Below are 20,385 nucleotides of genomic sequence, written 5' to 3'. Positions count from 1 at the left end.
ATATTATTTTGTGTTTCTTTATATATGTTTGAAATTTTTCATTAAAATTTTTTAAAATTAAGATCAGATTATTAAGCAATCTATAAGTGAATATATATGTATAGACAAAATCCAATAGTTTTTTGTTCAATATATATAGTTTTCATGCTTTTTAAAGAATATTCAAAAATAGTATTAATCTAGATTCCCTAGAGGAACATTCCTTAAAGTAAGGAAATTTCACTCTCTTCTATTATTATACTATTGTAGGATGTAGAAGAAAATTTATTCTCTTTTCTTTAACAAAATTTTCTTTGTTAATAATCTTTTATTGATTGTGCTAAGGACCCATTTAGTTCTGCCTCATTATGGGAGAGTAGCTTTTTCTCATTATATTTTAATGAAATGAAGGATCACCATAGCCTAAAGGGCTTTATATTCCATGTAAAAGACATTATTTTTTAGGCAATAAGATGAAGATCCTCGCCATCTTTCAATAATGTCTTTCTATTGATTAAATCTAAGAGGCAATAAAATGTATCAAATTACTTAATGTTTAATATATTGGTTTTAGTTTCTGAGTACCAGTGATAAGTGGAGTTCACATGGAACACACTAATGAGCATAGACATAAGTATCCCATCAACTCCAGCACTGCAGAAGAGACTGCAGGGATGGAGCCATCTAGTGATTCTGTAACTAAAAGACAGAGTCACCTTTTTAAAATAATTTAGCTTTGGGCTCCCAAATTAAATGTATACTGCTTTTTAACACATCTAGCAAGGTTAAAATACTGTCAGAGACATCCTATTTGTTGATGGGAACCAAAGACAATGATGCAAAAATTAGTGACACAATTCTAAAAGAAATGATTTGCATGAGCTGGAGAAAACTGGAAGATGTGGGAAAAGAAATGTAAGTGGGAAGTGCCTTGCAAGTAGTAGTTGCCCAGAAAGTATGTGTCTGATGAAAACATGAGAGATAATTCTTTCTCTAAGAGATAAGAAGGAGGCATTGGATGGGGCTCCGAGAAGTTACGCTGAGTTGGAAAAAAGGGAAATTGAGGGTCTTATGCAAAAGGATCTTATTCTTAGTAAAGGAAGATGTGAAGATTAGGTATTTGAGGAAGTAGAAAAAAAGTGGAATACCTTCGGAAGAGGTGAAAATAAATTAAGTAAAAATGAAACAATTAAGAATTACAAAGAATGCAGGATGCAATTACATAATTTTCCTTGCCTGGTTGAAAGCCCTTTGAGGCAGGGACCATCCTTTGTTCATCTCTGCAACCCCCATACAGTGGGAGTGTTTGTAAATTAAATTCTTCAATGAGGGCCAGTAAGCCCAGAGCAAAACTCCAGTCAAATAGGCAGTAGAGGTAAGTTAAAAAGTAGGAAAAAAAATTAGAGAAAAAGTTCTTTGCAGAAAGTAAATAAAAATCAACATGACAGAACTAGCATCAGAGCAAACACAATGCACAACTCATAGCAAGCATTTAATATTAATTTGTTGAATTGGAAATGCATCCCTTCTTTACTCTAAACAGGGTGAAACTCACAAGTGTATATGAAAGTGCCTTAGTGGTACTTTGGTCTACTAGAAGTGGTTACGTAAGAGACAAAAGTAGAACTAAATGTTACGAAAAAAGGCATCTACATAAAATGTGAAGACATATAAGTGAAAGGAAGCAGAATCAACATTACAAAAAAATAGATAAATAAAATTTACAAAAATTGAATGACAAGATTCCAAGGTGTGAGATTATCTTGGAAGTTGGAATAAGATGAACTTGTTTGGGAGAAAATTTGATGGTGGTCATCTAGGAAAGTCCTGATGAGAGGAGATGAGGAGTATCTGTGGGCTGGTGTTTAAGCTTAGTTTCCCCTTTGGAAACCTCCTGAAAGCTATGGACTTACTCCATAGAAAATTTTTCATGTGTGCATATATTAAAAAATTGTCATGCGGACATGGTGGATTCAGATACTTCTCAGGATTCTCTAACAGACCAACCCAGAGATTCAAGGACCTCAGCCTAAGAACTTCTGCTCTGACAGAGAAGCACAACTTATAAGGTGACACAACTGGTGATGGACTATGGATGCCTCCTTTGAAAACCTATCCCTCACATTCATTCACAGCTACTTTTGGGGCAGCTACTATTTCCAAGGAACTTTCCAGATCTACTGTCCACTTAGGTTTCTGATTTCACACCTTCCACTTTTCTTGGATATTTACCATAAATCAGGTCCTTTAGAATCATGTCACCAGTTCCATTTTTGTTATTTCCATGTGCACCAAAACTGTATCTATTAAGAAAATCCAGGATCTGGATTTTTTGAGCCAGTCTGCTTCTTAGAAGGGAGCTGTCCTGAATGAAAATCACTTCATTGCAACGGTAAAATAAAATGTTCCACAGTAAAGTGACATAGCTGTACCTTTTTCCCTCGACTGTAAAAGAAAGTGACAGAATCCTTCTGAGAAACCCACTGGCACACATGAGACCTCAGTAACTATGGGTGGCATAGAATTTATTTCTAATGGAATAGCCTAGTCTCTGAGGACTGTGATTTGTAGTGGCCAAAACATCATATCAGTGGCAGCTGAATTGTGCATCTGCAGAGCAAAGGAGCCTGACAGGAACAGTGGAACCCAACATCCATTCACCACTCATTTCCCTGGTGGCCAGGGCCTGTATGTTCACACAAGCACCTTCCCCTTACAGGAAACTGAAAACAATGCTCAACAGGCTGGTTGAGGGCATCAAAATTTTATGGTGTTTTGACTTCCTTAGCAGAGATTGGTTGTAACTGCATATTATAATGGATGCACACTGAAGTATGCAAATAACAATTTTCCAGTCTAATGTTTTCATCTCTTCCCAGTCATAATAGATGAAGAGGATATCATCATTCCAAAGAGATAAATCTCAGCCCATTTTATATCAGTGTACAATTTAGGAGGGGCATCTTCCCATGACCTCTGTTATCAATGACTTTAGGAAGCTAGTACTCATGTCCTGGGAATAAAGTATAACTCAGCGACCTAAATTGGAGGTTAATGAATGTAAATTCACACCACTGACTTCAAGGTTTTATTTGATCTATGGCTCTTTTGGGGACAGTCTGTATCCAATTTGTTTTATCAGAGGTATGCAGACATTTTTCTTAAAATAAAAAATGAACATCTTTTCAGTGTAAATATTTATTGACTGCACACAAAGTAGGAGGCATTGTGTAGGTACTGGGTGTATGCGTATTTATTTATGTATATAGCAAGAAATGAATAGGCAAATAAAAATAAAATTGTGATAAAGGAAATTAAGGTACAAGGAGGTACAATGGTAGAGAACAACAGTGGGGTCTTCTCAGATAAGGTGAACAAGGAAGGCTTCTTTGAGGAAGGGTCTGTCTGGCCCAAAAGACAGAAAAGGAGCTAGTCTTGAAAAGAGTTAGACATAGATGAATGCAGACTCAGACAGAAAATTCTGTGAAGGGCAAGAACTTGACAGGCTTGGGGAAAGGAAAGGAAGCTACTGTGGCTGCAGTGGCCAAGAGGAAGCATAGCATGAGAGGAGGCTTGAGGCAAGACGGGATGGGTCTTCCTAAGGATTCTGGATATTTGTTATTTCTTTATAAGTCACTCTTTGGTAATTATTAATAATAAAATACTTATAATCAAAAGAACAACTAATGTTTGGGGAGCATTTACTATGTTCCAGGTCCTGAAGAAACTGCTTTACATCCATAATCTCAAACGATCTTCCCAACATACCTGCAAGATGGGTATTATCTCTGTTCTACGGCTGGGGAAACTGAGGTTCATAGCATGGTAACTTCTGTAACATCACATGCAGAATAAGTGGTAAAGCAAGGAGTTGAGCCCAGGACCACCTCTCTTGAGTTCTTAGCCAAATCCAGAGACACCCTTCTTATCTTGAACTGCATCCATACATTGAAGTAAAGACAAGCAGAGCCTGGCATAGGGTGAGAACTTGGAGGGACCTAGATTTCTTTGGATGCCACTCAGCCTCACCACTGTATTTCACAGATGCTGGGATGGGATACAAATCCCTAACAGAACCAGTGGTTTGTGGGGATAGAATTAGAAGAAATGTTTTGACACAAATTCAGAAAAAGCCCAGGACAAAGATGTAAGAAGATGTCAGACTTGCTCGAGTAAAAGGAGGCAGCTGCTGCTTGACTTTGATTCATTTATGTGTTTACGTTTCCTGGAAAGAACTGGTAGACAAATGCCAGAGGGAGTAGGAGGAGCTGGGTAATGTAGAATGTGCTTCATAGGAAGTGGATCTCTTTAATGATAATGATTATTATAATGTTCTCATTTCTTAATGCTACAAGTCCAATGAAACATTAGAAATGAATCAACAAACCCATTTATCATGTACTATGAGAATTTCTGCCTGGGTATGGCATTAGGATGTAAGGTTTAAAAAGCATCTAAAGGCTATGCTCCTTTTAGGATATTTCCTAGAAATCATGGGAATAGTCTTATTTGAGATGTGCCCAAGCGCAGCCCATGGTACCTCCCAAAGTAAAAAAAAAACAAACCTGAGAGTCATCCTGCATGTCTCTTTCCATCATCTCATTCAGTAAGTTACCTAGCTTTGTTAGTTCCACATTCATAATATTGATTATATCTGTGTACATCTCTGTATTTGCCTGCTAGTGCCTTAGTTCAGGCCACTATCATCATTTGCCCAGAGTGGTGGTCTTGTCAGCTGTACCTGCCTCCAGCCTTGCCCCCAAACATCTATATCCATGCTGCCACAAGGGCTGTCTTTCCAGAATACAAGTCTGACTGTGTCGCCTCCTTTTCCCCACTTTTCACCATTCAGTTGTCCTCCATTGCCTGCCAGATAGATTCTAAGTTCCTTAGCATGGCATTCAAGGCTTTCGGTCTTCAAGTCCTTGCTTTCCCCTCTAGCCTCCTCTCTCATTGTCTTTGCAAATAGCAAATTACTTGCAATATTGCCTTACAAACCAATCTTGGCTTTTTTTTTTTTTTTTTTTTTTTGGTCTACCAATCCTCACCTATGCTGTTGTCTTTGCCTGGATTATGTTCTTCATCTTTGGGTTTTAAGACTCAGTTCAAGTGCTAAAAACCAAAGAGGCTTTCTGGCTTCAAGGAGGTTATAGTTTGATGGAGGAGAGACATTGATTAAGTAATCAGCAAAATAATTTGAGTTGCCCAAAGGATGCATAGAAATGAATGAAGGGCAGTCAGGGTGAGAAGAGTGTTCTGGTGGAAATTACGGTACATGTAAAGACTCTGTGGGAGGATGGATCCTGGTGTATTTGAGGAACTGGGCTGCATAAAGCAGTGATGTAAGGGGCATTACAGGAAGATATAATCTGGAGAGACAGTCAATGGCTAGATGCTGCAGGGTTTTATGGATCTGCTAAGGATATGACCTTTAATCTAACAGCAATGCAAATTTACTCAAATGTGTTAAGCAGGATGAGCAGACTTGAATTCAGAAATGACCTCTCTGGTTGCTATGTGGAGAATAGCTTGGAGGAAGGTGTGAGTGGGCAGAAGAGTAGAAAACAGTGAGAACTTTTATGGGATGTTGCAGTCATCTGAGACAGACAGCGAAGTGAGAGTGGAGATGAAGAGAAGTAGACAGATTGACGGAAATTGTGGAGGGAAAATGGACAGGATTTAGTGCTGAACTGGATGACAGTGGATGAGGGAGGTGTCAAAGATGACTTTGCTGAATGACGGATGGCAGCATTTTCCTCTGTCTTGGTGTAATAGAAATCGTTTTGTCAGTATTAAGAGACTACAGAGTCTGTGTAAAGAATGTGAATCAGTTCAGAGTTTAGGGACCCATATTCCTTTCCGGGGCCCCTAAATATTGAACTTGATGAATCACATAGCTTTTCTGCTTCTTAAAATGATAGGAAAAATCATCTTCACAAAGGGGATGATTAAATGAAATTTGAGATTTAATTCAATGAAATAAGTTTTGTTGAATATCTATTTTGCCCATACCCTGTCCAGTGAGTCCTGGATAATCTAAAATGAAGATGTGATGTGTTTATTCTCAAGGAGGCCAAACTTTGCTGCAGGAGCCAATGCTAGTGCCCATGAATATTGGGATAATTTAGGATGAAACGTAATCACATGGCAAAATATGTAGTGCTGCTTAATTACCTAACAGAACAGGAAGGAGAGAAATCTCTGTGACTATTGCCTTTGGCTCTGTGCAGAAGGAAATGTGGTCTGAGTTATGGAGGTGGGTCAGAGTTTAAAAGTCAAAAAGGATGGAGAAAAACATAGTGTGAATAAAGGCATAGAAGCAATTATAGAGTGATTGAGGCCAGTGAAATGTCTCATTTCACTGAGGTATGAAAATCCAAATTGGTGAATAGTGGGAGTAAATCTGGACAGGTAATTTGGGCCAAATCAGGTAGTGTATCTGGCAGAGAAGGTTGAATTTGTCATAGTGAATTAGTGGAAAGTTTTGGAGCAGAAAAGAGAAGAGATAGGTGAGATTAATTGGGAGGGGGTGTGCTGGAAGTCTTGAATGAAAGAACAATGGGAGACAAAGAGATCAAGGAGAAACTTAAGTGACGGGAGAGGAGAGATAGAGAGATACTTCAGAAGGATTCTTATAGCATTTGGTGGTTTTGGCTATAAAGAAAGTGGGGAGAGGAGAGTGTAACATGAATACAGGACTTTCAGTTAAGAGCCTGGGAAAATGACACTTTTTACTGACAGAAATAGGTTACAAGGAAAGAGAGACAATAGTTAGGCCTGTTTTGAAGAGGTTGAAACTCAGGTAAGATTGAGATAATCAGGTGAGTGTGCTCTGGCAGTAAGGTAAGAAGATTGGACTCATAGAGATGATGACTGAGTGCTAGACAGATTGTAAAAATAATTGTAATACTTTGGAGCAACTCCTGCCAAGAAGTGGAATCTATTTCCTCAACTCTTGAATCTGGGATGGGCTTGTGACTTGCTTTGACCAACAGAATGTGCAAGTGGCATTCTCTGAGTTCCAAGCCTAAGCTGTAAGAGATCTTGCAGTTTGCTTGCTTGCTTAGAACCTGGTGATTGCCATGAGAACAAGCCCAGGCTAGTTCACTTGATGACAGGTAAGGGGTCCAATTATCCTCATTTTTCTAATCAATACATAGCTAATCCTTAGAAAGAACAACCACTTTATTAATCAGAGAATCGCCATAGATACATGAGTGGGCCCAGTCAAGATCAGCAGACATGCTACCCAGCTAAGCTCAGGCCAAATTGCTGACCCACAGAATCATGAGTTAGATAAATAATGTAGTTTTAAGCCATTAAATTTTGGGTTGTGTTGTTATGCAGCAAAAGCTAACTGATACATACACTCCAAGAGAGAGTGTCAAGATAGTGAAGCAGAGAAGAGTGCCATGAAAGTAAACTACATAAATTCAAGGAGGAATTAATTTTGCTAGCAGATTTCTGAGACTTTATTAAATGCAACAATTTAATTACCTTATCGTATATCAAAAGCAAAGTTTAGTGCCCAAGATACCCAGATTTTAATAATAGCTGAATGAATAACTGGGATTAGGAAGACAAGGTAAGAATAAAATTAAATGAGAATCTGGGAAAGAGATTAATTCAAAAGAAGAGGGTTAGAAAATTCTATCATTTCAAGTAAACAAAGGCAAAAAGAGTAAATCAGTATCAAATTTATCATGTCTGAGTTATCAGTAATATCCAAAGCATCACCCAAGATTAAGGTAATCATGTAGTCTTACACTTCTAAGGCATGAGCTCAGACAAAGCAGTAGGGTCTTCTCCCTTCCTGGACCAAAGTTCGCTAAATATTCAATGTGTCTACAATATGGTTTGAGCTCTGTGGGTCTGTATAATTTTTCAGGTGACCTTCTCCCTCTTTTGTAGGTAATACAAATTAGAATTTTTCTCCACTGAGACTTCTGATCTTTCACTAAGTACACAAATTTAATTTTCTTAAACTTCAGTTCTTTTCACTTTTTCCTGTTATCTAAATAATAAAATCAGTTTGTTAGGTGTTGCAGCACTTGAAGATCTCTTCAATCTTATTTTGATCTAATTTATTTCAGCAGATGCAAGACAAATCCTGAAGAGCTCATTAAAATGAACCTTCTGTACTTCTCAGTGCTAATGCTTATTGGTGAGACATAAATATCCTAGAAAGTTCTAGGGGAAAAAGAGTGACATCTTAAGATCGTAAGGAATAAAAAATAAAAAATAAAAAAAGGATCATTATAAGTGGAAATCTAAATTCAATAGAATGGCATGACTAGAATAAAAAGTATCAGCTGTCTGGAATTGAAAACTGTCCTTGTGGGAGGGGTAGTCAGAGTTTACTCAAAGAGAAAGCACTGAAGAGTTCATCAGGAAGTTAATTCTTATCTTGCGAGAAGGAAAACAAGAGGATTTTAAGTATGCATCGTGGCACCAGATAACTTCCCGAGAGGTACTTCAAGGCAAGCTACAAAAGGCATTCTTAGCTTGGAAGGTGATAGCCCCACTTAGGGAGAAACAGGCAAAGCTTATGACTATATACAGCGACTTCTTACCACTCAGCTAGGCCACCCACAAGACAGCCCAGGTCAGAGGCCCCGCTGCAAAGAGGAGAGCTTCTCTGGACCCACCAACTCTGATAGAAAATAAAAGGCAGTTTTTGTTGGTGTATTCGTGTTTGGTCCTCATTTGAAGTGGAACACTTCAGTTATCCCAGGATGGATTTGAGGATGAGGACTTAAAGGCATCGGAGTGGGGAGAAAACAAAAAACAATGAGAAACTAGCCAGGATGAAGAGTGGGTTCACCAGGATGGGACAAGCGGCAAGACCTCAGGGAAAGAGGCGTGATCATGAATCAGATCTGCTCCTTTCCAAAGAGTTTGTGCAGTGGTTAAGAGCATGGATGGTGGGTTTGAGCTCACCTGGGAGTAAAGTTTACACCATCACTTCCTAGTTCCACACTCTTAAACAAATTTCTAAACCCATCAAGTCTTCTGTTTCCTTCTTTGTAAAATGAGAGGGTGATCCCCTGTCTCACGGGGCTGTTGTGAGAATTCAATGATTAAATTTATTTAACATAGTCTACCTTGTGCCTGAAGGGCTCAAAAAAATGGAAACTGTAATCCTTACCCCTCCCATCCCATTCCCATATCCTTATGACCAATTTCATCAAATTATTTACTCTTCACCCAGCAAGTTGGCCTGGAGAGGCTTAAAGGTACTGATGCAACAGAATGCTCCTTGCTCGGAGTGTGAATTCTAAATGATTGTCAATTATTCAACAAATACTTAAGGGCCTACAGTATGCCAAATGCCATGTATTAGACACTAGGGAGGTGATATGATTTGGCTGTGTCCCCATCCAAATCTCATCTTGAATTCCCACAAGCTGTGGGAAGGACCCAGTGGGAAGTAATTGAATCATGGAGATAAGTCTTTCCCCTGCTGTTCTTGTGATAGTGAATAAATCTCATGATATCTGATGGTTTTAAAAAGAGGAATTCCCCTGCACGAGCTCTCTCTCTCTTTGCCTGCTGCCATCCATCTAAGATGTGACTTGCTACCCCTTGCCTTCTGCCATGATTGTGAGGCCTCCCCAGCCATGTGGAACTGATAGTCCATTAAACCTCTTTCTTTTGCAAATTGCCAAGTCTTGTGGAAGGTCTTTATCAGCAGTGTGAAAATTGACTAATATAGGAAGAAAAGAAGGGCCTTGATATTGGAGGTCTGCTTTGGAATAAACTTAACGGGAACAGGATAAAGCAGTTGACATTTGACTTTGAGAACATCTGAAGATCCACACACACACACACACACACACACACACACCCCAAACATGACTATGTACAGAAGCAAAATCAGAGAGGGAAATTGGGGACTTTTTTAGGCTTATTTAACTAATAATCTTCAACCATACTTGTCAACTAAGTTGACCCATTTCTGGGTGAACATCTGCCCTGTCAGAACTTTGGAGCCACATACGTTAGGAAATGATTTGTACTACCACTTTAGCTATTTGTATCACTATCAAGGATGGCCGAACATCCTAGGGTGTTTCTTATTCTTTCCCAAATTTCATACTCCAAACATAGTTGGGGGAAAAATGTAGCAGCATGTGTGTGAAAGAAGCAAAGGCATGACCAATTATGATAGTTTAAAATGTCATTATTTCACTGTAGAAATAATTCCAAGTAGAGTTTGAACAGTGTAATGTGAATTTTAACCTCAATAAGACTGGAAAATTAATCAGGCCATTCTAGAGTCCAGGGATGGACACTGCTCTCTTGAAGCCCAGTGGTATTCTAATTGTCCTATAAGAGTTATAATAATTAGAAATGATATTTTTGTCTCCTTTAACATATTGGCTCAAATATTTCAATTATTAAGTAATAGCATTGTTTGTGGACCAGAGAGAATAAGGAGAGAGGTAACATTTTCAAGGTACCTATTGGACACTTAGCTGGTAGAATTCACTAAACTATAACGTCAAATTAGGGCCAGTAAGAATAAAATTATTCCTAAATTAAAATCAGAAAGTATTAAAAAAGATCTTATTTGGATTGAATGTTTAAACTTTCCATTCTAAAACTTAAGTAAAGTTGAGTTTGGAAAATTCCGTTATAACCTAATATGTTTTCCACATATAAGTCTAACATTTTCTTGAAGCTGATGCTCCATGGCTCATAAATTCCATTTGCCTTTATATCATTTATTTTGTTTTTATCCTCAACACCTTCATATTTAGGCAATGGTAATAGTTTAAACCTACAATAACCTCAACCATTCCCCACCATGCAGAATAATCACATCACATCACATCACATCACATCACACAGAGATCTCTGCCACCCCAGAGCCCTCACCTTTGTTTTATGGGAGGTTTTCAAGGGATTGACAAATAAGTAGAGATCCTGTGGTAAAGTCCAAGTTGAATTTGGAGAATGAGGACCTTTGTCTGTGTCTCCCACATCCCTATTAACCAGTGGTAAAATTCTGATCCATTGGAAATGGCCTTCCTGAGCCATAGTTTCTCTCCCTTAATGGAAAACTCAATATGCAATTCACCTGTTTGTTTCATGGGGCTATTGTTAGTATCACATAAAATAACGAATGATTTTGTTAAGTATTAAGGGTCATAAACCTGCAATAGTTACACATTCTCTGGGAAGCAGAAGAAGTGGTGTTGGTTGGTCAACAAGCTTCGAATCAATTTAAAATTTTCAAATACTGAGTTTCATTTAAAAGAAAACCTAGAGAGAAAATTGGAAAACTCACAAAGGTAAACATAGTTATTTCCAAAATTTTTCTGTAAGTTTCTTCTGATAAATTTACTGTTTAATTCAATTATTAAAATATGTATTTGAAAGAACAGCCCATCCCCTTTACCTGATTTGTATTTTTCTATAGCTCTTATTCTATCTAACATTTTCTGTCCCTCATTTCACCCCTCCATATAGCATATAACACTACTGCATTCCCAGTGTTTGGGCAAGCTCCTGGTACTTAGTAGACTATTAATAAACATTTACTGAATGAATAAATTAATGAATGAAGTAACAAGAACTGTATGCTAAATTAAATTAAACATTACTTCAAAAGTTATTCTAAATAGGTTTCTATCTACTGCAATAATGATTATATCATGATAATACAGATAATTTAAAAGTAACTTTTTGTGAAATCTCTTTATGTTGAATAACCAATAATAATAGTTGTGATTTATTTATTGTAGTACTGTTTACCACATACTTATTTACGTTATAAAGAACCTCAAAAGAGCTGCTCTCTTTCCTGAATGGTGAGAATTTGCTCCTCTTTTAACAGACGAGAAAACGGAGGCTCAAAAACGTAAGTCACTCAAAAGTCACACAGGTAGTGGGTAATGGGAGCAAGGATTTGAACTTCAAGTTTGGGTGGATCCAAAGTACCCATTCCAGTGTCAGTTCCTCCCAAAAGGAGATTAATCAAATGTGAAGTTTAGATGTCATTTAATGTTTGTCTGATAATGACTTTATTGCATCCTTATCCCAGATAAACACCTTGGGAGAGATACTCAATTCTCATCTAACAGCCATTTTCTCTTGGTGTTTGAAGACATTATGACACCCTATTTTTGGCATTTATTGCCATTCTGACAGGTCTACTTTTAATCTGAACATCATTTTTAATAAACTCCCCAGATGATTTTCATGTAGGTGGTCCTTGGACTACTTAGTGAGAAACTGATTCCAGAGGTAAAAAAGAGTCTCTGAGTTTCTGTGGAATCTTCCTCCCCAGGCTCTTCTGTTGGGGGGTTCCTGACTCCTCTGTGAAGAGAGCTGAGGTCATTTCCACTGAAAAGGCAAAGAAAATCTGGGCAGGTCAAACAACTGGTCAGTTAGCATCACAACCAGGGCTGGAAGCCTATTCTTTTAACTTGTGCTAGATCTGAGCTTCTCAAACATAAGTGTGTATGCAAATCATCTGGAGATCATTAAAACGTAGATTCCAATACTCAATAGGTCGGGATGGAACCTGAGACTCTGCATTTTTAACAAGCTCCCAGGTGATGCCCACGCTGCTGGTCTTCAGCTCACCCTTTGAACAGGAAGCTGTTACATGGAAATATGCTTAAAGGTTAAGGATTCGACACTCTCAGTACATACAAAGTTCCATTTTATTTCAAGAACGATTATTGTGGCTCTAATTGAGATACACATAAAAAGATCCATTTTTTCCCTCCATTTTACCAGTATTTACCAGGACATAAACTGTATGAGGAATATTTAATGTCAACTTTTCACAGGTTAACATAATGGGTGAGAGCCTAGACTTGGGGTCAAACGCACCTAAGCTATACTCTCAGAGTCACCATATACACAATGTGTGGCTTTGGACTAGTGGCTCAGGCTCTCTACGTCTCATTTTCCCCATTCTTAAAATAATGATAGTGATCTTTCATGGTGCTGTTGTGAAGGTTCAAGTCCTGTGTATGAGGTATAGAGCATGGTGCCTGGTAAACAGAAAGTGCTACATAAATGTCATCTATGCAAACTCTTAGCATCTTGTCCTGGTGTATCATCCTCATTCCAATATTCACAAATTTACTAATGGAGTCTATGCCCTTCAGGTTTTATGGGCACTAATCCTCTCCTCTTTTAACTTCCTCAAAGCATAGTTGCGAGGCTTAAATGAATTAATATGCATAAAACACTTGGATCCGTGCCTGTCACATAATTAGTACCCAAGATGGCTTAGCTTTTATTTTTAGCACTTACTATAATGATAATTAAATCACTTTTGAGGGATTTTTAAATTGCCTGTCCCCCCGACTAGATTGCAAGTCTTACGTGAGACCATGTTTGTTTTAGTTACCTCCGTATCCCAAATCTTAACCCGGCACCCAGTGGCTGCTCAGTATTACATAGAATGCACAAATGAATGAACATACGAACAAATGAATGAGTGAGCAAATAAGAAAACATTCTTGCCTTTTTGAAGAGATCCAGAGAAAAAACGTTTGAGAAACCCTTTCTTTGAGTGTGAAGGCAGTGGGAGAAAGAGAAAAAAATTATATCAGGGAACTGGTCTGGGGGAGGAAGAAAGGAGGGTGTCTTCCAAATGCCTCAGAAGTTGAGGAGTTTATAAATACCACTCAGAGTGAAGAGGTGAGCTGAGGGAAGGAGCCTGGGAGAGGAATGCCAGCAGATAATGGTCTTCAAAAAAAATTTGAGCTAACCGAGTTTTCTGATCAAATGTATTAGGAGATGCTTTGAGGTAAATAAAACATGAGAAATGAGAAACCCTTGAATATCCTATAGTGGGGGCTAATGAGAAACCCAGAGCAGGCAAAGAGAGGCTTTCTCCGAGCATCTGTACTTGGGGAGAAAATTATGACTTGTCAATTCCCCTGAGGAGCTTCCAGGATCATGTGGAGAGGGGAGAGCGTTGAAGTCACAGTGTTAGAAACTGATGGGCAAGGTCCAGGTCCTGTAAGTCCCTGCCGCCTCTGCCCTGACTCCACAACAAATGGGTAATGGCAAGACTGATGGGGGTAACAGGGTCTTAAGAAAGTGGAAAGGAAAATTCAGGGGCACTACTAAGATGAGCTAATCATAGGGAATGGCTTTATACATATTGCATTTGGTTTTATTATAGTTATTCTTCAGTGATGATTCTCTCTTCCTGCAATTTATAATAAGGCATAAATCTCCCCTTGAGATGGAATCACCCAGCAAAGCATTTCCAGACTACTTTAAACCCATCCCATAACTGCAGTGAGTTTCCTGGTAGACTGGGGAAATGGTTCCCCTAACCTCAAGCACTCATCGAGGGCATGGAATGAAAACTGATAGCAAAATGGACTTTGACTTACAGAGGAAGAAAATAACAATGCTATTGTCCAGGCCTGCACAGTTTCAACAGTACTTTCCTATTTCATCTATGACAGCAATCTTCTTCATAACTCTGGGAAGTTACTCATTATTACTCATAATGGTACTCATTATTTCCATTTTGCAGATGAAGATACGAAGGCCCCAAGATGGCAGATGAATTGTCTAAGGCCATACATACCCCTATATCGCAGAGCCGGGATTTGGACCTATTTCCTCTCTTTGCAAGTTTGAGTGCTCTGAGGCAATGCAGGTAGAAGATAGTTTTCTTTTTGGGAATGCTGCCAGAGCAATATACTTGAAAGGCCTTTTATCTTGGCAAATGTGCCAAGGGTCTCGATAATTACAGATACCTTTTAACAGCTCATCAAAAGATCAAGGATATGGGCCCACAAACAGTGTGAGCCCCATCTCCTGGCAAAGCCCTGCATCTATCCAAGCTCAGGAGCATGTGTGACAAGCCCACTGCAAACCACCACCTGCCTTTTATGTGTTTTTCATGTCTACCAGTCTTCTAAGAGCCACCTAGGAGTACATGCTCTGCATCCTTTAGTGAGGCTGAAACTGGCTAAAATAACCCCCAAAGATGTTTGGGTACGTCCAGTTGAAAAACCAGGAACCTGTCTCAGGTACCTAGACATCTGCTTATAACCCAAAACACATACATTTCTGATTTGAGCCAGATCCATATGCCAGCCTTCCTCTGTTTAAAATGGTTCTTCAGCTCACTAGGCTGGAAGGACATTGAGCTCTTCTGTTATCTTCCTTTTGTACCAAATTCACCATAGAGCTTGGGCAATTCAACTCATCTCTTGGGGCTTCAGTTTTCTGACTTAAATAAATTAAGTTTTAATGGTGTAGAGTCACCAGCAAGAGATCAGATAGTTTGAAGGTGTTATCTGCTTCCTGCTTGGATGCTGACTCACACACCTGATCCATCCGACTTCAAAACCCGCACTCTCTCTACTGTGGTAGGCTGATCTCTAGGGCTTCTTGCAGCTTTTGCAATAATCACTCTACATTCCGTGAACTACTGGGGAGACTCTAAGAATGTATGTGGGCAGTCCAAAACCACTCAGCTAATAAATGCTGAGTAAGAAAGCCAAGCCTGTAGATCTCAAATTCCCTAACTACTGCTGTGCTGCCCTTATTGAACTGCTTCAAAGAGTAAAAGTATGCTTTAACTCTGCTTACCTTTTTCCCCATGAAATAGTATAATTGTGTAGAAAAACACTGGTTTTTAAGCCAGGACATGTGAGTGTGAATCCAGGTTCTATCCTTTATTAGCTGTAAGAATTTGGGCTTGTAACCATCTAAATGTCCATTTATTCACTTGTTGAAGGTGATAATATTTTAATATTGTCTTACTAGTTGACTGCTAGAATCAAATGAGATAATGTAAGCTACACAAATGTGGTAAAGTGTTATGCAAAGGTAAGGGATAGTAATAGTAAAAGGACTTAGAGATGCCTTACTTGTCTTTGTTGGCAAATGGCACTAGTATATTCGGGGAAAGCAACTTAAAAACCCTAGGGTAAACTGTGCAGCAGAGTATCTGAAAGAAAGAAAAGTAGAAATATGGTGGGAGGATTTGGTCAAAGGTGGTGGCAATTACTGCGTTTCCTGTACTGTTCTCAGCCAGGGGCAATTTGGCAATGTCTGGTGGTAATTTTGGTTGTCACAACCTGGGGGTTGGGTGGGGAGATTGCTACTGACACATAGTGGGTAGAAGGCAGGGATGCTGCTTAACATCTTATAATACATAAAACAGCCCCCTAACAATAATGAATTATCTGCACCAGAATGTTAATAGTACCAAGTTTGAGAAATCCTGGTCTATTAGAAGTTCCATGAATTCAGGAACTAGTGTATCTTGTTTATTTCTGTGCCCTAGCATCTAGTAGTGTACTTGGCTTAAAGAGGGTACCCAATATATAAATTTATTGAATAGATAGATGAGTGAGTGAATACCCACAAAAAACCAGATAATACAAGTTAGATCTATTTCAGATTGCCAGGGAAAATCATAGTTTCTTTAGGCACCTTCTCTGTTTATTCTTTATCTTCTTTACTTTTCTTTCCTTTCAAAGCTTTTTTCCCTTCTTTCCTCTCCCAATACTGTCCAAGAATGAGAATGGCCTATCAAATCTGAGAATGCCTCGAAGCAATAAATAATGCTTATAAGACACACACACTACAAAATCTTTTCCAGCTCCCTGCTTCCTACCACTCCATTTCAGCAGACAATAATCACATCAGTAAATAAGTGGATTCACTCTTGTTCCTTCACTGAGTGTGAACATATAGGACCAAAAGCACACATTTCCTGCAAATGCCTTACTAGAACAGTTCAATTATGCTTTTAAGAAAACACATCCTGGGCCATGAAATAGAAACTCAGTTTAGGTGAGAAAATGGAAAAATGAAGGCATTTAGTTCTGGGAATGCAGAAATTATATATATTTGTTCATCATTGTATCTCCCATGCCTAGCATGGTGCCTGGCACATGGTAGGCATCCTTAAATATTTATTAAATAAAAAAAAAGTGACATCCACATTCCAGACTTTTTCTAAAATCTTCCCCCAATTAAAAAAAAATGTTTTTCCTCTGCCATTCAATTTCATATGAAGGTAGTTTGAATGTCACAGGTTTTGGAAAATCTTATCCATTTTCCTCCCTCATGGAGATCTAAAGCCAGATAAAGATGTGTGGGTTCAACATTGAGAAGTGAATGTCAATATGGTGACTTAAGAAGTCCTTGCAATAATAATTCATATTTGACACATATATTCTGAAAGCCATATTTTACCAGAAATAAAATGAGCCCAAAATATTTGTTATATCTTTGCCAGTAAGTCTACATTGAGACAAGGTGTGGTAATTTGGGAGGATTTAAAGATTGTGTAAGGTTGGGAATGATGGCTCAGGCCTGTAATCCCAGCACTTTGGGAGACCGAGGCAGGAGGATCACCTGAGGTTATCAATTCAAGACCAGCCTGGCCAACATGGTGAAACCCCACTTCTACTAATAATACACAAATTAGCTGAGCATGGTGGCACATGCCTGTAGTCCTAGCTACTCAGGAGGCTGAGGCAGGACAATCACTTGAACCCGGGAGGCTGAGGTTGCAGTGGGCTGAGATTGCACCACTGCACTCCAGCCTGGGAGGCAGAATGAGACTCCATCTCAAAAATAAATAAATAAATAAATATTCTGTAGGCAAGGCTAAATAAGTCCCCTGGGGAATACCAGTAGAAACCTTTTATGCCCAACACATCATTTACTCCAAAAGAAAATAATGTCATGATCATCCACTTAGATTGGCCAACTCAAAGCTCCATGGTAAACTGATAGCCTGTGTTGTGAGTAAGCTTTCTAGAAACTATAAGAAAACATGTTTGGAGTTGCCCCTGAACAATTTTCCAATAGTACTTTTGGCTAGAATTTGTGTTAAAAAAAAAAAAATCACAGTAAAATATATTAATTATGCAGATCCATTAGTCTGCAGAGTGGAGAGACTGAGGTGTTTCCATTTTCAAACCCTGAATCTTTAAACATTTAAAGACACACTGATGACCAAGAGCCTCTTCTAGAAGATTTAGTGCTTCATGTGCTGATTTCAGGCTCAAAATATTCACTGACTTATTTTCTTACACAAGCATGTAACAGGACCACCAGCTCTATTTGTACACCAGCCTAGAATGTTTAACGAAAAATGCAAGATTAGTCCAAAACTAATTATGTGTTAACACCAGCTGCTTTCTCCATACTTAATAGATAATTTTTAAGTGCTTAATGATCAATATGTTTAAGTACACACATCTGTAGCCAAAGAAAGGGCAGGTTGAAACATAGGCAAGATGGAGTACAATCCTCAGTACTATTGATTTGGAATTTAGTCACCCCTCTGAAGAAAGCAGCATCTTCTAGCTAGGGACTGAAATATGATATACTTTATAAACTTGCCTATAAGATTAGTTTTTAGGGATAGTCTATATTTGATGAACACTGTGGTTGAGCACAATATATTTTATTAAAGTAAAAGTTTTCGTTTGATGGCCGTTAGTATATTTAGAACTCTCATAAATGCTGTTGGAAAAAGCAAATTGATTTGAATTTATTTATCAGTATTGGCTCTAATACCACACTTTCTGATTAAACCACCCAATTATGACTTTTTTTTTAAGAACAAGAGAAAGACATAACCCAGAATTGAGGAGTTAACCAAGCTTGCCTCTGACAAAAATGACTATCATTTTGGAAATGTATTTTATTGTGTACTGCACTCTGAACTTTTTTTAACTAACTGGGTGCCTAACCAAGAGTAGCTCAAAAGCTGTTGCTTATTAGACACAGCAGATCACACCAAGAACTCAATATTGTGTTAACCACTTCAAAACTTGACTCTTAGTTCTTCCAATTTGTGGTGGGTGGTTTTTGTTTGCTTGTTAGCGGTTTGTTTGTTTGTTTTTAAGATCCCTCTGAGTTTGGGTAAATTTAGCAAAGGTGTTGTGAGCTAGGTTCTATCTTCTAGCAACATTTTCACCACTCATAATCCTTTCTCATAATGCAGCATTTTACAGGCTCACTTTATGACTAGAATGCCCTGCTTCTCATCCAGAAGCTGCCACTTGAAGAGAAATTTCAACCTTATTGATTCTATGTCAGTTGCATTTTCCCCCTATAAAATCCATCTGAATTTTATTGGCTCAAGTGGATTTAAAATGGGGAGCCCACTGCTCAGGTGCAAAGGAATGCATTTGGGGACTCTGAATTTCGTCTTTGTCACGCTTCTCAGCATGCTTATTGACAGCTGTGTTCCTTTTTAAATTACCCAGGTGAGATAGACACTTTGCAATATTCAACCTGAAGTGCTACCTCAGCCCTTTCCAGCTAGCCAAAGAATAGAAATTAAAAAAAAAAAAAAAACATGGTGGGAGTGAGTAAAGGGAAGGTGAGAATTTTGTAAAGCTCTCCAAAAATGATTCCGTTGGAATTGCTTTTTATATTTTGCACCAATGACGAACCAGCTGCCTTGAGATATTGATATTTCTAAGCTGTCATCGCATCTTTATTTTGACTATGTCCAAAAGACTGAAGGTCAAAGGAATTGATTTACTTTGATCAATTAAAAGAACTACTACCTTGATTTATCCACTTCTGCATAAATTTTACCCTAGGTGGGCTCATTTAGTCACACTCATATCTTTGTATCTGCTCAAGTTGAGTGGAAATAAAACACATATTCTTCAGTTTCAAAGACATACTTAGCTTGGAATCATAAAGACATAGTCTGAGAGGAAGGAGACTACCTTGTATCAGAATGGGGAAAAATAGGATGTTTAACTATAGGTCCCTGGAAATCATTTCAGTCTAGGCGTTTGTTGTAGATTGTACCAATGACAGATGGGAGGTAGGAAGAGCAGGACTCTGGAATGAGCCTGCCTGGTTCCGAGACTCATCCCGCTCACTGTGTTTCCTCAAGTAAGTTACATACTTGTCCTATGTCTCCATTTTCTCATCTGTAAAATGGAGAGGTAATGTTATGGCCCTCATAGAGTGCTTGTCAAGATTAAAGGGGATAAGCCATGTAAAATGCTTAGCACAGTGCCAGGCATATAGGATGTACTTACTAAATGGAAATGACTCTTGCATTCTTCATTATGCTAAAAAGAAGAGAGGAGCTGATTATGAAATTTTAAAAATCCCTTTATTGTTTTCCCCCAAATGACAAAAGTCTTTAATGCTTGGAAGAGATTATGACAGATTTTCTGGTTATGATATTATGGACCTTTCAGAAGTGATACTTGTAAAAACTGTGCACATTGGCTCTAACTCCAACTAAGGATCCCGACCTTTTAAAGATACAGATGCCTTTTTGTTCTTCCTTTGTGGGCCTGAGTATGCTTGGAGCCCTAACACTTCTGTAAACTAACAGACTGGAGGAAAAGGCATAACTTTCACATGCAGAATGCATGCTGCCACCTCAAGTTTCATTAATTTATATTACTG

The 20,385-nt window shown here is 38.4% G+C and overlaps 1 protein-coding gene and 1 long non-coding RNA gene across 5 annotated transcripts in view; one reads left to right on the top strand and one right to left on the bottom strand.

The window, feature by feature from the left end:
• The window catches only part of SYNPR (synaptoporin), a 416,321-nt gene that overhangs the window by 151,342 nt on the left and 244,594 nt on the right, over positions 1–20,385 (bottom strand). The gene's annotated exons all lie outside the window — the stretch shown is intronic.
• Positions 1–20,385, top strand: part of SYNPR-AS1 (SYNPR antisense RNA 1) — a 126,456-nt gene that overhangs the window by 84,469 nt on the left and 21,602 nt on the right. The window lies entirely within an intron of this gene.

The sequence above is a fragment of the Homo sapiens genome, chromosome 3 (genome assembly GCF_000001405.40).
Source record: "Homo sapiens chromosome 3, GRCh38.p14 Primary Assembly".
Taxonomy (NCBI): Eukaryota; Metazoa; Chordata; class Mammalia; order Primates; family Hominidae; genus Homo; species Homo sapiens.
Note: the sequence above shows the minus strand (reverse complement) of the source record. Positions and strands in the feature narration are given on the sequence as shown.